General features: G+C 39.6%; 1 protein-coding gene across 7 annotated transcripts in view; it reads right to left on the bottom strand.

Moving 5' to 3' along the window:
* Nucleotides 322–21,327, bottom strand: part of LMNB1 (lamin B1) — a 60,398-nt gene continuing 39,392 nt past the window's right edge. For 6 of the 7 annotated variants that reach the window (NR_134488.1, NM_005573.4, NM_001198557.2 and 3 more), the window contains 6 exons: nt 18,200–18,420; nt 16,207–16,432; nt 14,457–14,561; nt 11,235–11,354; nt 4,541–4,648; nt 322–1,119 (listed from right to left, as the gene is read on the bottom strand). Coding sequence is in view for 5 of the 7 variants with exons in the window: in NM_005573.4 (NP_005564.1) it covers nt 1,078–1,119; nt 4,541–4,648; nt 11,235–11,354; nt 14,457–14,561; nt 16,207–16,432; nt 18,200–18,420 (822 nt within the window). In the remaining 2 variants the exon portion in view is untranslated. Of the gene's footprint in view, nt 1,120–4,540; nt 4,649–11,234; nt 11,355–14,456; nt 14,562–16,206; nt 16,433–18,199; nt 20,708–21,327 lie in introns of all 7 variants that reach the window. The other variant, NR_177109.1, reaches the window with a different exon arrangement.

The raw sequence follows: 21,327 nt of genomic DNA, 5'->3' as shown, positions 1-21,327 counted from the left end.
ATGTTTTCTACTGTTCCTATTTGGTTTTCCTGAAGAAATTTTAAAAGGCCTTATTGTTAATAAGCTAAAAAATGTAATGAAGCATTGAGCATGATATCTGGCTCAAAAACATTAGTTATTATTATTGCTTTTATTATTGTTGTTATTAATGACAATTAAATACTGAAAGACCCCCAAAATAGCTTATCTTCCACAACTGGCAAAGCCTTAAAGAAAAATCCAGTTCAAAGAAGTCAAATTATATTTTTATCAAAAGCAAAACTGAAACAATACTTTTCTCCCCTCAAAATCTGTTTTTAAAGCGTTAAAAAGGACAGTATATCAATATTAAAAGAGCTTTTTTATTTGTTAATGTCACATAAGAAATTTAAGCAAGTTACACTATCTTAAAAAACACAACGAATGCATTTTAATAGAGAAACCCTTCCCTCCCTCCACCTCCCTCCCCCACCCTCCTCATGAATTAAGAATCTAAGAGAAGAAGTAACCATAAAACCAAGTTTTGTGGAATCCATCATCCAGAGTGCTTACATGGTGATTAGGTTAATATTGCCTTCTTACAAAATTTCTATTTTAAAAAAAATTATAACCTTGATTGCTTATTACAAAAAAATTCAGTACAAAAGTTCAATATATTGAAAAATGCTTTTCCCCTCCCTCACAGCACCGTTTTATATATAGCAGAGAATAATGAAGAGATTGCTAGTCTAGATGGGGCAATCTTCAAATTACACCAAGACGCACAGTGGTTTATTTACCCTCCCCTCCTCATAAGAACTTAAAAAAAAAGAAAAAACACACATACAAAAAAAGTCAAAAAATTTGAGGAACCCCTTCCGAACAGTACACAGTTATTAAGTTCAGTGTCAATAATTCACATCTTGCAACAAAGTGTATGGACATGATTTCTTTTACAAAACTTTCAGTGTCAAAAAGGAAATTAAGGCCATCAGATTTGCAGCTTAAAAATTCACATAAAGGAAATATAAAAATATTCTGTGCTTCTGAGAAGGCTCTGCACTGTATACAGGTAAAGATTACCATACTTCTTTATTTTGAGGAAGACAGTTGAAAATTTTACATAATTGCACAGCTTCTATTGGATGCTCTTGGGGTTCCCTGATGAGGAAAACAGAAGGAAAAATTAATACTAAAGAAATAGATCACAGTATTCTAAAATAAGACAAAAACTTTTAACTACAGGGATACCAAACCATATTACCTAACCTCAAATGGACCCTTTATCATCTCTCATCTTTTCTAACCTTTTCTTTTTTTCTTTTTCTTTGTTTGTTTGAGATAGAGTCTCACTCTGTTGCCCAGGCTGGAGTGCAGTGGTGCAATCTTGGCTCACTGCAACCTCTACCTCCTGGGTTCAAGCGATTCTCATGCCTCAGCCTCCCGAGCAGCTGCGACTACAGGTGTGCATCACCACCACGTTAGCCAGGCTGGTCTTGAACTCCTGGCCTCAAGTGATCCACCTGCCCTTGGCCTCCCAAAGTGCTGGGATTACAGGCGTGAGCCACCGTATCTGGCCTCTAACCTTCTTTTATGGACTTCTTTCTAGAATACCCCCCAACAAATTCCAGAACAGTAATTGTCAACTCTGGCTACACATTCAGATCCTGAGGAGTTTAAAACAAATTCTGATCTAGGTCCCTTGATCAATCAAATAAGAATTTCTCATTTTACTGGGAAAGGGTAGCTATCTATATATAATTTTAAAGTAATTCTAATGTGCAGCTCAATTTGAAAACCATTGTTCAATAACCTCTTTTGATAACTTAGGAAATAGGAGATCAGTGGATCAGCTTTTAACAACCACATCGGAGACTACAGCTTGCTAGATCCTGAACTTACACATCCCAAGCCATCTGCAGTGGATTTGTCCTCCAAGGTGAAGTCAACATGGCTCCTCTACCCATTTCTTTATCACTCATTAATTTCATATAACCTCACAATATGACTTGTGACTCACCACTGATTGAACTAAAACTGGTTTTTTGAAGGTCACCAAAATATTTCTAATCAATTCAAAAGGCGATTGGATTCATCCTCAAATATGAAGTTCAAACGCCTGTTCTGCCCTTCCATCTTCCCTCTTATGAACCTTGGTATCATTAGTTTCTGTGATCACAAAAGCTAAAAACCTCATACATCTTTATTTTTTTTCTTCTCTCACCCTCAAGTTTAGTCACTAAGCCTTAATAAATTTCCATTATATATTCCCTCACTGCCTCTGGAATCTCCTCTCTAGAGTTAGTCCCTCTGATTCAGCTTGGCCAGTGATATTTTAAAATGCAGTCTTAACTTCTCCTTTGTTCCAAATTGTACAGAAGCTACATCCCTAAGCATTCCAGACTATGTCAGTTTAATTCCAATCTTTCAACTTCATTTAACTCTCACATGAACCCTACAAAATAACTGGATGAGCGGATATAGTTGGTGCATTAAGTCTTTTTTTATGAGGCAGAGTCTCACTCTGTCACCCAAGCTGGAGTGCAGTGGCGCCATCTCAGCTCACTGCAAGCTCCGCCTCCCGGGTTCACGCCATTCTCCTGCCTCAGCCTCCCGAGTAGCTGGGACTACAGGCTCCCGCCACCACGCCCGGCTAATTTTTTGTATTTTTAGTAGAGACGGGGTTTCACCGTGTTAGCCAGGATGGTCTCGATCTCCTGACCTTGTGATCTGCCTGCCTCCCAAACTGCTGGGATTACAGGCGTAAGCCACCGTGCCCGGCCACATTCTTTACACATCCTCTGTAGTGAGTTAAAGATCACCATGAATTCTTTGCCATTCCTCCCACCAACAGGTGGAGACTATTTACCCCCACTTTGAATCTGGACTGGCCTCATGACTTTGACTAAGAGAATGTTACAAAGGGCCCTTTAAGAAACCTGGTACTCTCTTGAGATTGAGATTGTCGTGGCCAACATGGTGAAACTCCATCTCTACTACAATATAAAAAATTAGCCAGGCGTGGTGGCGCATGCCTGTAATCCCAGCTACTTGGGAGACTGAGGCAGGGGTATCTCTTGAACCTGGGAGGTGGAGGTTGCGGTGAGCTGAGATTGCGCCACTGCGCTCCAGCCTGGCGACACAGCAAGACTCTATCTCAAAAAAAAAAAAGAAAAAAGAAAGAAACCTGTACCCTCCACTTACTCTGTTAGACAATTGCCATGCTATAAAGCTTTGACTAAACTCTTAAATCATAGAAATCCACACAGAAAGAGACCTAAAAGATATTCCAGCCGAGGCCAACCTCTGAGCTGAACACAGCCTGCTCGATTGAGTTCAGTCTGCAGCATGTGGAACAGAAACACTGCCCAGCTGAGCCCAGTCAAACCACAGAATTATGGGAAGTAAGAAATCACTGTTTTAAGCCACTAAGCTTTGGGGTGGTCTGTTAGTGAAGCAATGGTGAATTCCAACATCCTCAGAGCACCATCATCTGCCTTCTCTCCAATAACCAAATAATCACCCATCCTTCAAATTAGTGGACAAGCATCACCTCACAGAGTTCTTCTCAACTACTCTGCTGGCCTGGAGTACCTCCTCTAGCATCTGACATGCTATATAACTCATGCTGACCCTCTTGTCTGGTGCCTTGAGTTATCTCTTACATAATTATTTTACTTCTAGTAATTACGATGGTTCCCATTGAAGCACAGAAAATGGAACTTGTGCTTGTTTCTTGTAAGTTAAGTGTAACATATGTGTTTTAAAATATTCCTCCAAAATGTATGAGAAGGCATCCAGGTAAAAAATTCATGCTACTTCATGCAACCCACCTCAAGTGGTTCTCAACCCTGGGGGTTAAATATATGAGACAGTGTTTATTTAGACCAGGACTAGGGCTAATGAAGCAAAGCAGACTTAAGACTAAAAATCTGGAGCCATGGAAACAAAGTCTTATCAGGATAAGGGTAGACACTTTGATTAATGATCGGACTCAAACAGCTTGAGAATATAAACTGAAGGCTCATTAGTTATTAATAATTCCAATTTAATTATAATTAAAACCAAATTTGGAGTTTCTTTATTTCAAGGGCTCTCAAAAGCCCAACCATCAGCCAAAATCTATCTTCAATTAGATAATGATTAGGAACTTAATACAGCAAGAATTTTGTTTCACACTGAAGTTGAATATTACTTTGTTTTTTTAAAGTTTATATGCAGATTCTTGCTCTAAATTAGTGATCTAAACCTTTTAATCATAGGACCCTACAGAGTAAACAAGTTTGGAGTAAACATCCAATCCATAGACATGTTTTACTGTAACACATAATGCACATTAGAAAACAAAGGACAAAACTGAAACTTGGTACAATGAGAAAAAATAAAAATAAAAGTGCCAACATATTCTTCCAGTACCCTAAAGTATCACCTTGAATATCCCTTTGGGGAGTACAAACCCCACTTGGTAGATAACTGCGCTGGTTCATCAACTGATAGGGGAAAAACCCAACCACACTCTTGGTCTTCATGTAATTCTGTGAATAAAATTTGAAATAAATATATTAAATAAATAAAGTAATACCTGCTGGTGGAAAAGTTCTTCCTCAACAACCACTCCAGCTGCTTCTTCCTCCTCCTCCTCTTCTTCAGGTATGGTTGTTTTAAAGACTGTACTTCTTTGAGCAACCTCCTAAAAACAATAGTAGTTTAAGTTAAAAAACACACTTAAAATCACCAAATGCGGGGGAGAGGGACCTTTTCTTTGCTTAAGAGACAGCATTTCTTGCCAGGCGCAGTGGCTCACACCTGTAATCCCAGCACTTTGGGAGGCCAAGGCAGGCAGATCACCCGAGGTCAGGAGTTAGAGACCAGCCTGACCAACATGGTGAAACCCCGTCTCTACTAAAAATACAAAAATTAGCTGGCCATGATGGCACGTGCCTGTAATCCCAGCTACTCAGGAGGCTGAGGCAGAAGAATGGCTTGCATTGAGGTTGCAGTGAGCCGAGATCACGCCACTGCACTCCAGTGTCACAGCAAGACTGTCTCAAAAAAGAAAAAAAAAAGAGACAGCATTTCTGTTTATTATTATTACTATTATTCATCCCTTTTTTTGGAGACAGAGTCTCACTCTGTCGCCCAGGCTGGTGTGCAGTGGCATGACCTCGGTTCACTGAAACCTTCACTTCCCAGGTTCAAGCGATTCTCATGCCTCAGCCACCCCAGTAGCTGGGATTACAGGCATGCACCACCACGTGCGGCTAATTTTTATACATTTTTAGTAGAGATGGGGTTTTGCCACGTTGGCCAGGCTGGTCTTGAACTCCTGGTTTCAAGTGATCCACCCACCTCAGCCTCCCAAAGTGCTGGGATTACAGGCATGAGCCTCCACACTTGGCCCCTGTTTATTATTTTTAAAGGGGTGGGGCGGGGGGAGCTGTATATCAGTAACTTTCTGGTTACTAAACTGAAATTTCCGCATAATTAGTAGCAGTTCTTATACCTTCCATATTTCCTGCAGGGGAGGAAGTACTATCCAATTCGAAATATCTGCTGAGAAGTTTCCACTGCTTTTTATCCTATTCTGTTACTAAGAATTCTACAAATTATTTGACATACTAAATTCTTTATAAAACTCAACATGAATTCAGCTTAAAGATCTTAGCTCCTGGCAAAGATAAGGTGCTAAATAAATGCTGAATAAAATGAAGCTGGAAGCCAACTGTGATCTCAGGGACTACCAGCAACAGGACCACCTGATAAGTGAGAAGAAAGGACAAGCTCCTTTCATTCCTTTCAGCAACTGATACCTCTTGAATGAAACAAAATCAAGACAGATGAACACTGTACACTATTTACCAATAACGTACTAGTGAGGTTCCAATGTATTCTGTACAGAAATAGGTCTCCTATCATTCACTAAAGGTATGACAGAAAGCAACTATTTCCATTTTCTACTAAAAAGGTCAAATACAGATTACTTTCCTGTGGAAAATGCTGACTTGGCACAAATGCAGCAGTGTTTTTGCTTAAGCACAAGGCTAACCTGATGATCTGGCAGCAAGTAAATGAGTGTGTCCTCAAGAGTGCTGCAGAGCATATAATTTTATTCTGTACCCTGTCCTAAGGTCACTCAAGAAAGAGAATGCTACAGGGGAAGACACAATATTACTTCAGTAAAAGCTTATCTAACACAGACCAGCTAGTTTACAATGGCAGAGAAAGAAAATCAAAACCCAGTGTCACAGAAATGAGACTTCGATTTGAAATATGCCCAATAATGTGTTTTGTAAATAAAGTAAGGTGGCAGAACAGTATTTTGTGGGGATTTTTTATTACTCTTGCAGGACCAAGGAAGATGGACCATTTTGAGCCTCTCAATTAGCCAGTAACTTCAATTCTGTGAAATTGGTCTATCTTTACAAACAGAAATAGCCATTTCACAAATATCAGTGTTTTAACCAAATTAGTAATAAAAAAAATGTGATTCTTTAGATCAACCACCGTTCAAGCTATCAACTAGGAGATAGCAGCATATAAAGCAGAAAAATAAATTCTTAAAAAACTTTGAGAGTACCCAGCTTTTCTCAACTCATCTTAAAATGAGGAACGAGTCAAATAAAATCTTCTATAACAAAATTACCACATTCCAGCTTCTAGAAGCTCGTGGTATACATCCCATATGCAAACATTGGCTCTTAAGGCTCATGATGTAGCTTAAGACTATTAGCCTCAATGAGAACCTCAGAAAACAGCAACTTGCCTGTCTTCATTATTATGAATTACCTTAACATAACTACTTTAAGTGTAACCCTGCTGTTAAGCACTCTTCATTTGAAAACATGCAAAAACCAATTAATCTAATACAGAAAGCCGTATAAAAAATGGGTGAGCTAATGTCTAAAAATCTAGGTAGAAAAATAATAAATAATAATTTAGAACCAAAAAGCTGTTGGGAGGTTTAGATCAAGGAAATTGTTATTAGTCAAGATGCTACTAAATAAATGTGTTTACCCCAAGTGTCCTGAAAGGTTCACATAAATAGTCTTACATGACAGGCTTTACTCTGTCTATAAAATGCAGCATTGGTCCGCCCCTGCTGCGAGCCTTGGGCATATGAAGGTGCACTGATCTGTGCAGTGGTGCCCGGAGCTGGCTGCACCTGCTGATGCTGCTCATCACTGCACAGCTCTGTGCTCAGTCACATAATGCTGGAAGCCTGGCATCAGCCACAGTAGGAGTATTTATACCACAGAAATTAGCAAATGCTACAAATCAGGGCGATCTTATGTGGACGAAAGATGATTGTTTATATTTTATATATTGCATCTCTACATATATAAGTAATCATTTGCATATACAAAAGTTTCCATTATATCTATATTCTGGAAAGTTTGGAAGGACTGCTTTATTTTTTATTTCCCTCATAAAAAACATCTTGTTTTTGCCATGGTGACAATCGCTGTTTTTAACCACCCAGTGCCCCCTCCCTCCTGAATAAGAGCCCCTAGGTTTACCTGGGTACACACCCCCCATGGAGCACACGTGTGTCACAAGGAGCCCAGTGCAATGTGGCTGTAGAGGGGAGGAAGAAGTCTTGAGCTCTAATTCCGCCCTCCCAACTCCAGGAACTGGTTTAGAGGTGGGCACGTGACCCACCCTAGTCCAGTGTGAGTGAAGCCCAGGATGGGTGCCTCACAGGGGATGAAGTTTAGCTTCCCTCCATAATTCAAACACTCAATATCAGATTATTTGGTGGGCTGGATTGTCCATTCTTTTAACAAACTTCTACTGCCTTCTGCTTGCTAGGCTGTTCTGAGAGAGTTCTGTCAGGAACGAGGAGAGAAAGTGGTATGAATACAGGTCTTATTTCATTAGACAGTTACTTTTGGTATGTATTCATTTAATTGGGTAAGACCATGTTTATCTGTCAGTAGTACCGGACCACGTTAGCAACAATCTATAAACTCCACCATAAAGAGCACTTTTTTGAAAGATCACCTTCCCACAAAAAGCAAATAGAAAAGACGTACCTCTGGGAGCAGCCAGCAGCTATCCTGCGTCCCCAAGGGAGGCAACCAGAAGAGAAACAACAGACAGATCCCCGGGGACATGCTGTGAGCCACTGGATTAGGTCCACTATTTAAATTTTTTATTATGTGAGCCCAAAAAATTTCCATTATTTCTAAGCCAGTTTAATTGGGTTTTCTGACATTTCCAATGCCCCAGCAAGAAGAAAAAAAAAAACATAAGAAACAAAACTGACTAAGCCAGTTACCAACAATCTTACTGCAAACTGGTCTTTATGGCGGGGATTGTTTATAGATTGTTCCTAATGTGGTCTGGTCCCTACTGACAAATATGGTCTTATCGAATTAAATGAATAAATGCCAAAAGTAACTGTCTAGTGAAATAAGACCTGTATTCATAATACTTTCTCTCCTCATTTCTGACAGAACTCACTTAAAACAGAGCCTCGCAAGCTGAAGGTATTAGAAGTTTGTTAAAAGAATGGACCAACCTTGGCCGGGCATGGTGGCTCACACCTGTAATCCCAGCACTTTGGGAGGCCGAGGTGACGGATCACAAGGTCAAGAGATTGAGACCATCCTGGCCAATATGGTAAAACCCCATCTCTACTAAAAATATAAAAATTAGCCAGGTGTGTTGGCACGCACCTGTAGTTCCAGCTACTCAGGAGGCTGAGGCAGGAGGCGGAGGTTGCAGTGAGCCGAGATCGTGCTATGCCACTCCACTCCAGCCTGGGCAACAGAGTGAAACTCCTTCACCAAAAAAAAAAAAAAGAATGGACCAACCAACCAATCAATCAATCAAATAATCTACTATTCAATGTTTGAGTTATGAAATGGAGCTAAGCTTCAGTTAGCTTTACTAATATGTCATCAGTAATACTAGTAATACTGTCTGAAGATGCATCCCATGTCATAATATCTACTACTTTGTTCATGTCACTGTATCTATTTTTTGGGGCATTTAAACCTACTGCTCCATTCCAAATATCCTCCTATAACATTGTTTCTAACTTGGAACACACTTTCACAGAGAAAAAAAAAATGACATAAATAATGACTAGATTCCATGGCTCACGAAAGTCCATTTAATCTGCCTTGTACCCCTTATAACAGTGCTTTTCAGTCTTATCTGAGCCAATCACCACTCTTAACAATGTTTCACAAGAGACATGGTTACAGTGAGGGATAGACAGGAAGATGGCCATGAACAGAACTTTTTATCCAGGCACCTCAGACTCTTATAATGAATGCTGCTATTGCTTTATTTCTCTGAACGTAAGTCAAGGTCCATGTCTGATTTTTTTTTAAAAAATGCATCCAGTAAATGCTTCCTGAATTCCTGTTATGTGCCAAGCATGATACCAGGATCTACCAGAACAGGCCCTTGCCCTCAGTGTGCTTCCTCTAGTGAGTGAGAACAATGTGATGAGCACCACGCAGGTTAGAGGCCTGCCCGTGGCACTATGGGAGCAGACAAAAAACCCCTAAGGGGACGGTGTGATTTGACCCGCTGACCACTCCTTTCACAGATACTTTCCTCCCTTGGCTTTCCTGACATCACACACCATTTTCCTCTGACTTCACTGGCTGCATCTTCTACTTCCTTTGCTCTTATTCCTAATGTCAATATTTTCTAGGGCTCAATTCTGGACCCTCTCCTGACAAACTTTACTCAGCGAGTCCTGTAACTTTATTTATTTATTTGAGACACAGTCTTGCTCTGTCGCCCAGGCTGGAGTGCAATGGCGCAATCTCAGCTCATCCCGAGTTCAAGCAATTCTCCTGCCTCAGCTTCCTGAGTAGCCTGGACTACAGGCACGTGCCACCATGCCCGGCTAATTCTTGTGTTTTTAGTAGAGACGGGGTTTCACCATGTTGGCCACGCTGGTCTCTAACTCCTGACCTCAGGTGATCCACCCACCTTCGGCCTCCCAAAGTGCTGGGATTACAGGCATGAGCCACTGCGCTGGGCCTGATACCACAGTTTATCTTTATTACCTTTATCAGAAAATCACTTTATCTTATTCCCTGGCTCCCTTACTCTCTTTACAATGTGGGCTCCATGATGCCAGAAACCACGTATGGCTTTTTTCCTGCTTATTCCTAACACAAAGTGGCTGGCATACAGCAGATACTCAGGATTTTCCAAATAAATGAATAGCCCTGCACTTGTAAATATGGTTAGCTTCCCTACCAGGTTTGCCAGCCTAACATTCCCCCTATATATCTCCTTTCAGCACCACTCAGACTGAAATGCATACCCAGTCAGGTTGTAAGGTACAAACAGCAGAGCCTGCCAGCCTGGAAACTGGGTGAAAAGGTCAGAATCAGTAAGCATGTCAGAACAAGGTTATGACCAATGGCTTCCTTGCAAGCCAACTTACAGCTCTCCTGGTAGGCAAAGGATGAAAAAGCAGTATTACAACTAAAAGGAAAATGAGAAGAACAAACCATGCTGAACTCACAACAAAAGCTCCATTAACATGCTTATGGCAATAGCAACAAAGGAGGGACTCAAATTCTAAACAGAGGCTCAGTGATGCGTGGTACAGCACCTGGATAAGGTGATTCGCTAGGGAAAGACAAGGAGGAAGCCATGTTTTACTAGCTTCAAAGCACACTTTAGCCGCTTTATTAGGAAGTAGTATTTCTAAGACTAGTATTGGTAGGGGTATATGCAGTGTCTTTATGTGGCAATGGGGAAGGTAAGGTACTTTGACAAGGATTCTAAGACTGACACACTGAAAACACACACTCCAAGAAGATGTACACTCCACAATCTTCAAACTCACAGTTTCATGAACATTCTGAGAGCTAGTAACAAGGTTAATAATTTAAGCATTTACTAGATAAAGGTACTATGCCAGATACTATTCCAAGCATTTCCCAAGTACTGTCTCATTCTTATTATTAGCTCATGGATATTGTGTCATTAATATCCATTTTTAAATGACAAATCTAAGAGAGGTGAAGTAACTTGCCCAAAGTCACAAAGCTAATGTGCAGTGAAAACAGAAACAGGACACAGAAAATCTGTTCTGGAGCCTGTGCTAATAATCAGTACTCTATAATACACTCCTATTTATTCCTAAAACTTAAAGACAGCTTCAGTTCAATTAACTTAGCAGCTTTGGTCTGTTTATGCAATCGGTTATTGCACGTTTCAATCTGATCTTGATTATACTTGCACAGTGAACTTTAAGTGAAATTAACATTGTGGTGGTCCTGATAAACTGGCCATACCTCTCCCTGAGAATTTTTCAATATAACCTTCACATCTTCGCCAGTGCCCCACGAGTTCTGGTTCTTCCAGATGAGGTCAGTTGGGGGGCTGGCTGTGACACCAGCGTTTGCAGCCCAAATCTGTAAAAAACCAAAGCATGTCAGTACACCCAGAACCCAGTTCTCCCACACGCCAACGACAGCAATGCGATGAGACTCAAACACTTGATTCTAAAAGTCTGAGAACTATGCCCCAGCTACAGAGTGCTATACACAGCTATGTGGCCAGGAGAACTCACAGAGCTTCTCAAGGCCTCAGCTTCCCCATCTGATAAGTGAAGATGATAATATATAAGACCCTGAAGTAAAACTGCCTACACTCACATCCTAGTTCCTTTACACACCAGCTGACCCTGAGCAAGTTACCTTACTTTAGTCATCCATAAAACAGGGTAGAAATGGCACCTGTAACAGGTGCGATTATTGAAAAGAGCAAGTGATAACCCACATTCAGTGGCTGGCTAACTCAGTGAATGGTAGCCTCAGCGTTCTATTACTCTGTGGGTTTTATAGGCCATCCTTCCATGTTAGAGCCTTCTGTGACTCCCTCTAATAATGTTCTCTGGCTGCCTACAGCAAGAACTAAAGAGACCTTCTGCAGCAGAGAGCCTATCTAGAATAATCTTATGGAAACTGGTACGTCTCCAAACAGACAATGTCACAATACCCTAGAGTATCTGAGACTGCGCTCCAAAAAGAATGCTGGAAATGTATAAATCACTCGCTGTTCAAGGGAAAATATAATTGCTATTGAAATAGGTCAAAGAAATAATTATATTTCCCTTCTCATGAGCATGAAATTCTTTTTATATATCTACTGGCAAAAGAGAATGGATAGAGTGAAGAACACCTGGCAGTCAGAAAGCCTAGGTTTGAATTCTGGACAAATCACTACACCTCTAGGAAACTCAATGCCTTTAGCTACAGGGATACTACTAGCCCTGATCTCTTAGAAAGATCATTTAAAAACAAATAGAAACAGAAAAGTTTGTAATCCATACATTGTTATAGAATATAAAAGACTTTATGACTGCAAAAGGAAAGCTGAAGATGGCAAAGCCAAGTATTATTTCAAAATGGGGGCCAGGTGTAGTGGCTCCAGCCTGTAATCACAGCACTTTGGGAGGCCGAGGCGGGCAGATCACTTGAGCTAAGGAGTTTAAAACCAGCCTGGGCAAAATGGTGAAATCCTGTCTCTATCAAAAAAAAGAAAGGGTGGGGGGGTGGGGTGGAAACAGGAAAAAAAAAATCTATGAATTACTGATTAGGAGAGAGCCCTTACTTTTGAGATGTTCCCCTGAAGCATCCAGATCTTTCATCAGCATTACAAATGGAAAAGGGCACAAGATATTAACTGGGATTAAACTGAAAAAAAGAACTGAATCTGGTCCAACATTCAGACTATGTGGAATGTTAGTGTTTCCCTAATTGTAAGCAATATTTCTCACTAGCCTATATGTAATCACATAGTTGATTTATGTTAGTAATCATCATCATAAAATGTCAGTATCCTTGCTGGCTAACTTAACCTAAAACTAATATGTCCTATAGCCATGTCATTCAATACCGCAGCAAAATGTGGCTTGTTAGCACTTAAAATATGGCTAGTCTGAAATGAATGTGCTGTAAGGGTAAAATACACACTAGATTTTGAAGACTTAGCTAAACATAAAAAAAAAAGAATGTAAAAATATCTGACTTTTTAGACTGATTACATGTTAAAGCAATATTTTGGATATATTGGGTTTCATAAAATATAGTTCTAAAATTCATGTCTTTCTTTTTTACTTTAATGCGGCTATAAGAAAATTTAAAATTACACATGTGGTTCTCATATTTCTATTCTAGAGTTTTAAACTGATCTTTGCTTTTGCCTCTGCAATTTTACAGAAAGATCACTTATTACTACCATGTTCCAAAGAGCTGCTTATCACATTTAATGCCAGTAACTGAAGGGAAAAAAGTATCACATTATTTTATATGATAATTGAGTTATCCACTAGATCTCTAGAATCCATGTATTTAGTCCCTGAGGTAGTATACCCAGTAGAAAAAGCACATGATTGGCATAAGGCTTCCATATTACTTCTGAGATAGAGAGCACACTCAATTCTGAATCCTCTGAACTAAAATGTCAGATTCTTTTTACCACATTATACAGCTTCCATAAGACATATAATAGCAATTGCTATAGTGAGCAATTTTTTCTCACTATAGTAATTACTAACGAGAAGAAAGGATATTGTAGTTAGGATAGTTGATCCCATTTTTACCCATTATTACCAAATTAGCATTTGATATTTTCACAAAGTGGCATCATGCTCTCTGAATACACCTTTTTAAAGAGAAGTCTGAGCCTTTGATCTTCAACAGTAAGGTTTGTATCAACATAAAATTATAAACACATTTAAAACATGCGTTTAATATTTTTTAAAGAATATATAAAAGGAAAGAGACAGTCACCTCTACATTCTTTTAGGATGAAAAGAGTGACTTCTTTGAAATCTGTATCAAAGTTAACATATTTTATTGTTAGCTAAATCTACCTACTAAGTAAAAGCAAAAGAATCTTTGATTACTCAATGAAACATACTTCTCTAAAAAGTAAGCTAATAATAATTCAGTAACTATTAAAGATGTAGTATTTCAGAACATACCAATAGAGAGCCATTTAGAAATCAAGACACAGAATGCCAATTAGTGAAAATTTACAAGGGTGCCTATAATCTAAGGACTTTTATTCAAAACCTAGGCTCCTACCCCAACCCTAAAGATAGCAAAGGGTGAAGTAGGGCCTGAACACCAAAATACTACCCAAATGATTCTGAAGCTCACCCAAGGCTAGAGATTGCTGTTTTAGGCATATGTTAATGCTAAATTCTTAACAGTTCTTTATGCCAAGCAGTGTCTCCTGAATGACACTGGGCTATAAGTATCAGCCTAGAGATAGCTTTTATATCTACTGGAATAGACAAGATAAAAATAATTCAAAGGTCCATTCTTCACTACTCTCAATAAGACAGAATTTTAAAAATCTTTTATAGCACTTGTAATGCCCTAATAATATAAAAAGTACTTTAACGGCCATTTCTAAAATGCTTCTCTTTTAGCCAAAAAACTTTTTGAGTTACTTTGTTAGTTAACACAATGAAGTTAAATTAAATGATGACTAGATTCACTTACTGTAACAGTCTGGCCTGCCTTCAGCACATATCTTGAGGTATATTTATAACTGACTGATGTGTCTCCAATTTTTCTGATCATCTCCCAGCCTCCCATTGGTTGATCCTACACACAGAAAGGAGGGTGAGGGGTGTTACTTCAAAGATAAAGAAAGTTGTGGAATAATCAAATAAATTAATCCATACAGGCAGTTAAACTAAGACCGCTTTATGGTCATCTTCCCACATTTCAGGTTTTCCTACTATAAAAAGAAAACACGATTCTGTCATTTTGTCAAACAGTAACTTCAACAATGAGTTAATTAGTAAGGTACTTGACTTTAAAGAGGACAGAACTGGAAGAACAGGGTATGAACCAAATTAAATGGTCAAATTCACTGCTAGATAAGGTGGGTCTTTCAAATTTACAGCACTATCTAGCTGTCATAATCACAATTTTTAAACATCAAGTATTGGATTACTTCAAGCTTTTAAAATAGACACATAAGCTTAGAAACAGAAGAAAATCTGTCATTTTCCTTCTGCATCTGTCCCACTTCTGCCCACATTCAGCTCTCATACATGAAAGCATAAGGGGCTCAAAAAAAGGGTCAGTGGGGCTGGGCATGGTGGCCCATGCCTGTAATCCCAGCACTTTAGGAGGCCAAGGCGGGTGGATCACCTGAGGTCAGGAGTTGGAGACCAGCCTGGCCAACATGGTGAAGCCCTGTGTAAAAATACAAAAATCAGCAGGCGTGCTTGCGTGCACCTGTAATCCCAGCTACTCAGGAGGCTGAGGCAGGAGAATCTCTTGAACCCAAGAGGTGGAGGAGCCAAGATCATGCCACTGCACTCCGACCTGGGCAACAGAGCAAGACTCAAAAAAAAAAAAAAGGCTACAAAGAGACCTTAGAGCCTATTCTCTTTAGCATTAAAACTGTTGGTGCTCATTAGTGCTCCTTCACTCATCCAAATTACATATTCATCCACATGCAAGATAGTTTTAATAACTGTGGTGAGAAAAGACTAATTTTCAAAACTACTTTTAGCAGGCCCTGAACATATGTTTCAAGATGTGACATCCATCCCACTGCCGCCTGCACGCTCCCAGACCATGCCTTCCTCTAGTATCATCTCACAACCCATCATGGCCTCCAGCTCCTTGATGCAGAGCTAGGGAAGGCCCACACTACAGAGCTCCCGAAAGCCCCAGCCCTAAATTTCAGAAATCTCTGCTATGAATACTTCATGTTTACTTTTAAACATATTTCAAAATAAGGCTTCATGCTATTTTTCATGTAAAGTATTAGCATTTGTTCATTCATTTATTTGCAGGGAAAAATATTCCCTTAATATCTGAGTCCAGGCTCTTATCTCCTTCTTTCAGTAAGCTTTTTATTAAGTTAATGACCGAAAGAATATCCACCATTTTCATCCAATTGCTCCAACTTCTTCACAAATTTGGCTAGGGCAGAGAATAATAATAACTCATCCTCAGAACCACTGTGATAAAAGGAACATGCTTTTCAAAAAAGCCCTGGCCCTCTAAAGAAGGGTTAATGAAGCAAATCTTTAAACTACTAAGGGTACCTAACTCTTCCTCCTCCTATTTTAATTTTTATTTTATTTTATGAATTTAAGTAAAAAGGACATAAACCCTTATTCCATGAAGACGTAATGAATCCAAACAAAAACTAAGGAGCTATGACAATTGCAAGAGAATCTAGCAATCCACAAAGCCTTGCTAGAAAAAAAAGGGTCTATTTTATTACCTGTTCAGAAGTGTTCTTCAAGCGGATAAATTTCCCATCAACATCAATTTCTTCGATGCAAACATTTCCAGTGGCTGAGGCGGAATGAGAGATGCTAACACTACTACTCGCCTCTGATTCTTCCACATCAACCCTCTTCCGCTTTCCTCTAGTTGTACGTACACTACGACTTGAGGATGCTCGGGATACTGTCACACGGGAAGAAGGGCTTGGAGACAGCTTCAACCTATATGGGAAAAATAAAACAATTCATTTTTAAAACACATATGCCCTTCTCGCCTTAAAAAAAAAAAAAACAAAAAAACAAGGGCTGGGCACAGAGGCTCATGTCTGTAACCCAACAGCACTTTGGGAGGCCAAGGCAGGTGGATTGCTTGAGGTCAGGAGTTCAAGATCAGCCTGACCAACATGGTGAAACCCCGTCTCTACTAAAAATACAAAAATTAGCCAGGCGTGGTGGTGGGCGCCTGTAATACTAGCTACTCAGGAGGCTGAGGCAGGAGAATGGCTTGAACCCGGGAGGCAGAGGCTGCAGTGAGCTGAGATCACACCACTGCACTCTAGCCTGGGTGACAGAGTGAAAACCTGTCTCAAAATAATAATAATAAGAAGAAGAATATCCCACCCATGCATTTCTAAAGCAAAATATTACTTACAATCTGTTAGCCAAAGCCAAAGTTTACCTTAACTAATGTAAACTTCTTCATAAGGTGCCCATCGTCAATTTTCTTTTTTAAAAAATAACAATCTGAATGTTTTCTCTAGGGATGGAAGTAATATAACCATAATGCAAGAAGTCTGGTAAATGGGTAGAAAGTCATCTGATCTACCACCACCCACCACAGCCACTGTTATAGTTGGTGTACTTTTTTCTCTTTTCGTACCTGTACTTTCTTATGATCACAACGGATATAATATTAAAATTATCTGGCTTTTTATCCTAAATCAGCCACTTTCCTTTTGGAACTTTTTTTTTCTTTTTCTTTTTTTTGTGAGACAGAGTTTCACTCTTGTCACCCAGGCTGGAGTGCAATGGCACAATCTTGGCTCACTGCAAACTCCACCTCCCAGGTTCAAGCAATTCTGTCTCAGCCTCCCAAGTAGCTGGGATTACAGGTGCCTGCCACCATGCCCAGCTAATTTTTGTATTTTCATTAGAGACGGAGTTTCACCATGTTGACCAGGCTGGTCTTGAACTCCTGACCTCATGTGATCCGCCTGCCTTGGCCTCCCAAAGTGCCGGGATTACAGGCATGAGGCAATGCACCTGGCCCTTTTGGAACTCTTTTCTGAGAACAGGTGTCAAAAATATTTATACATTGACCAGATTTAAAATATATATAAAGCCAGCCGGGCGTGGTGGCTCACACCTGTAATCCTAGCACTTTGGGAGGCTGAGGCGGGTGGGTCACTTGCAGTCAGGAGTTTGAGACCAGCCTGGCCAACATGGTGAAACCTCTTCTCTACTAAAAACAAAATTAGCCGGGTGTGGTGACACACGCCTGTAATCCCAGTTACTCAGGAGGCTGAGGTAGGCAAATCGCTTGAAACCAGGAGGTGAAGGTTGCAGTGAGCCGAGAATCACACCACTGCACTCTAGCCTGGGCAACAGGCTGAGACTCTGTCTCAAAAATAAATAAATAAATAAATAAATAAATAAATAAATAAATAAATAATATGTAAAGTCTCTTTCAGCCAGTTTGGCATTTTACAATATATTAAATCACCAAAACACTTAAAATCTCAAAGGAACTAATCCATCCTGATGCAGTTCAGCATTTAAAGTAATAATAATAAATAAACTAAGAGTACTTGAGCAACATTTTCTGCGATGAGGTAGAAATATGATCTATTACTACTTCTATACCTAGGTGTTCAAAGAAATGACCAAGAAAATAAAGTTCTTTTTAAAATGCTATTTATTTTTATTTCAATAAAAAGGGTGAGAGGCAAAAAGTGGACCATAAGGTAGGGTGACCCTTAAGTTCCTTACCTCTCTTCTTCGCCTTCTAAGAGTTTCCTGTAAGCACTGATTTCCATGTCCAGGGCTAACTTTACATCAAGAAGCTGTTCATAGTCATTCAGCTGTTGCTGCATTTGATCCCTTATTTCCGCCATCTCTCTCTCTTTGTCTGTCAGCATGCGACGAGAGTTGTCTTTTTCTTTAGCAAGCAAGTCCTCTAATTCTTGAATCCTTTCCAAACATGCTCTAGACTTAAGATGCAAGGAAACATATTTACTTTCTAGGAACATTCCAACATTAGCACCAGGCAGCTATTTTAAATCATTTCCTAGACTGGAAAACAGTACAACCCTATGGAATCTCTAACTCACTAGAATTCAAGAGATTTTAAGAAATTAAAACCCAAAATTCCTCAAATACAAAACACAGACCTCAGGATAGTTTTGGCTGATAAAAGAATAAAAGACATATTCCACAAATGTAAGTTCTGTAAATATACATATAATTTTTCTGTACTTAGCCAAAAAAATGTTAAGATGTGGTTTTGGTAAAAGTCAAGTCTGGCTCCCTTACAAAGCCTTTACTTCCAAAAGTATAAATTAAATAAAGAACTTAAAAAGATAAGAACACTGGGTGGGTGTGGTGGCTTACGCCTGTAATCCCAACACTTTGGGAGGCCGGGGCAGGTGGATCACCTGAGGTCAGGAGTTTGAGACCAGCCTGACTAACATGGCGAAACCCCGTCTCTACTAAAAATACAAAAAAAATTAGCAGGTTGTAGTGGTGGGCGCCTGTAATCCCAGCTACTTGGGAGGCTGAGGCAGGACAATCGCTTGAACCCCGGAGGCAGAGGTTGCAGTGAGCCAAGATCACGCCATTGCACTCCAACCTGGGCAACAGAGCGAGACTCTGTCTCAAAAAAAAAAAAAAAAAGATATAAACACTGACTGACAAAATAAACCTAAGAGTGGGTAAAAGTACGTTTTAGCAGACTGCTGAGGAATATTCAGAAACCAAGGCAAAGGGACTCTGGTTACTATGTGGAAGGCACTACCTAGTGTCCCTTTAGGATTGCTGGGCTATCTCATGTTCAGTTAGCACACAAAGGACACACAATATAGGGTGATTTGTAAAGTATTACTGTGAATATAGAAGCTGTATATTTGGCATAAAAAAATTAAAAATCACACATCCTACACCAGAAAGTTCATCTTAGAAACCTTGTGGCTCGCTGGGTAATTATTCTTCTGTGTTTCTCCATGACAGAATTCATCTCAGTAGCCTCAGAAAGTGACAACTCAAAAAGACTGATGGATAGCTTAGGCCCTCAGAATCACAAGTACCTGCAACAGAGCAGGAGAGAAAGGGCATCTAATGTGCAAAAACTAAATCTAGAAGGCTAGAGATAAAAAGGAGCTACCAAATACATAAAAACTGTACTCTTGCTGGTAAATTTACTTTTCACAGCAGTACAGGTTCAAAATTTTGAAACTGCTTTAACATATACTGGGGCTGAACAGATAAGTAAATGGATGATAAAAACCAGGTTTCTCACTCTGAGAGAGAAAAGATACAGGTATGTCAGAAAGGAAGCCAAAATTGAATGCTGTCCTACTAGATTCAAGTCAGAGACATCTGTATGAATTCATGTTTATCTTAACACAAATGATTAGACAGAAAAAGTTATAAATATGTGCATACACATGGGTTAGCATACATAAAATGTTACCCACTTTTATCGGTGAGAGGGCCAAGAAGCAGTGATACCCAGTACCAGTGAGCACACTCAGTGCCCAGATCTTAATTTCTATATACCATTCTCCAATAACAAGAACCAGGGCTCCTTGGAGACTGGATAATTCTAGGACTGGGGCAGGGAAAATGCAAGATGAGCCTAGAGCATGTTATAGTACCAGAAAGCAACAAAGTGCTCAAAAAACAATGGGACATAGTGGCCAAGCTGACAGAACTCCCAGTGGCCAAATATGAAACAATTTAAGCCAAAAAAGTAAATACTGCAGTATTAGCTTACAACCCAAAGTATAAAGTAAATGCCCATGGTCCATACGGACACAAACAAACAAACAAACAAACCAAACAAACGGGGAATGGATAAATCGTTACAGAAGAATGCCATTTAATAAATGTAGATTTCCCTCCAGAATGTGGCGCTTAAGTCCTGCCCTGTCCTTCACCCTTGAGGGTAGGCTGGACTTAGTGAGCTGTTTTCCATGAACAGTGTATGGGAACGGAAAAATAGTAGCGCTGTTGACAGTGGAGAAACCTGACAAACACTATCTTAAACCAAACACCACCAGTGATGTCATGTGGTTATCACATACGTGCAATCCCTGATACGATGTGACAAAACGGGCACTTAAAACCCAAAACCCCAGTCTAATCACGTGAAAAGCACCGGACAAATCCAAATTGGGGGACAGTCTACAGGATACCTGGACAATCTTACTCAAGACTCAAGCTCATAAAAAACAAGGAAAGCCCAAGAAACTGTCACAGACCAGGGGAGGCATGTGGCACCTGGAACAGAAAGAAGATAACAGAAGAACTGGTGAAATCCAAATAGTCTGGAGACGAGTTCACAGTAATATACCAATGTCAGTTTCTTAGTTTTGACAAATATACTATGGTAACATAAGATGCTAACAACAGGGGAAAATGGGTGAGAGGAAAACAAGAACTGTCTATAGTACTTTGCCAACTTTTCTGTAAATCTAAAATTATGCCAAAATAACAAGGTTATTTAAAAAATAATCAAGAGTCACTGTAAACCTATTTGGGGGCAGAGGGGGTGCCTGGTTCACACGCACACACAAAAATATATTTTTAAAGAAAAAAAATTGACCAATCAATTAATTAAATTCCAGAGTAGTATATGACTTGACATGCTATTTAGACAGGCACTCCTCTTAAGATGGATATTACAAAGGTAGTCCCTGAACCTCAGAGAACTTGCATTTAACTGCGTTTGCAAAAATCATGCTATAAATGGAGAAATCCATTTCCCCGCTACCATGTTCCTTGTATTTTCTTTTTCTCCAAAAGAAAAAAAAAAAGTCATGTAAGTTCAAAATGCCTCCCTTTATTTCATATATCAGAGGTAGAAGATATATTTGAATGGGCAAAAAGGTAGAATCTAA

This window comes from Homo sapiens, chromosome 5 (assembly GCF_000001405.40).
Source record: "Homo sapiens chromosome 5, GRCh38.p14 Primary Assembly".
Taxonomy (NCBI): domain Eukaryota; kingdom Metazoa; phylum Chordata; class Mammalia; order Primates; family Hominidae; genus Homo; species Homo sapiens.
This window is presented reverse-complemented; position numbering and strand designations above follow the sequence as displayed.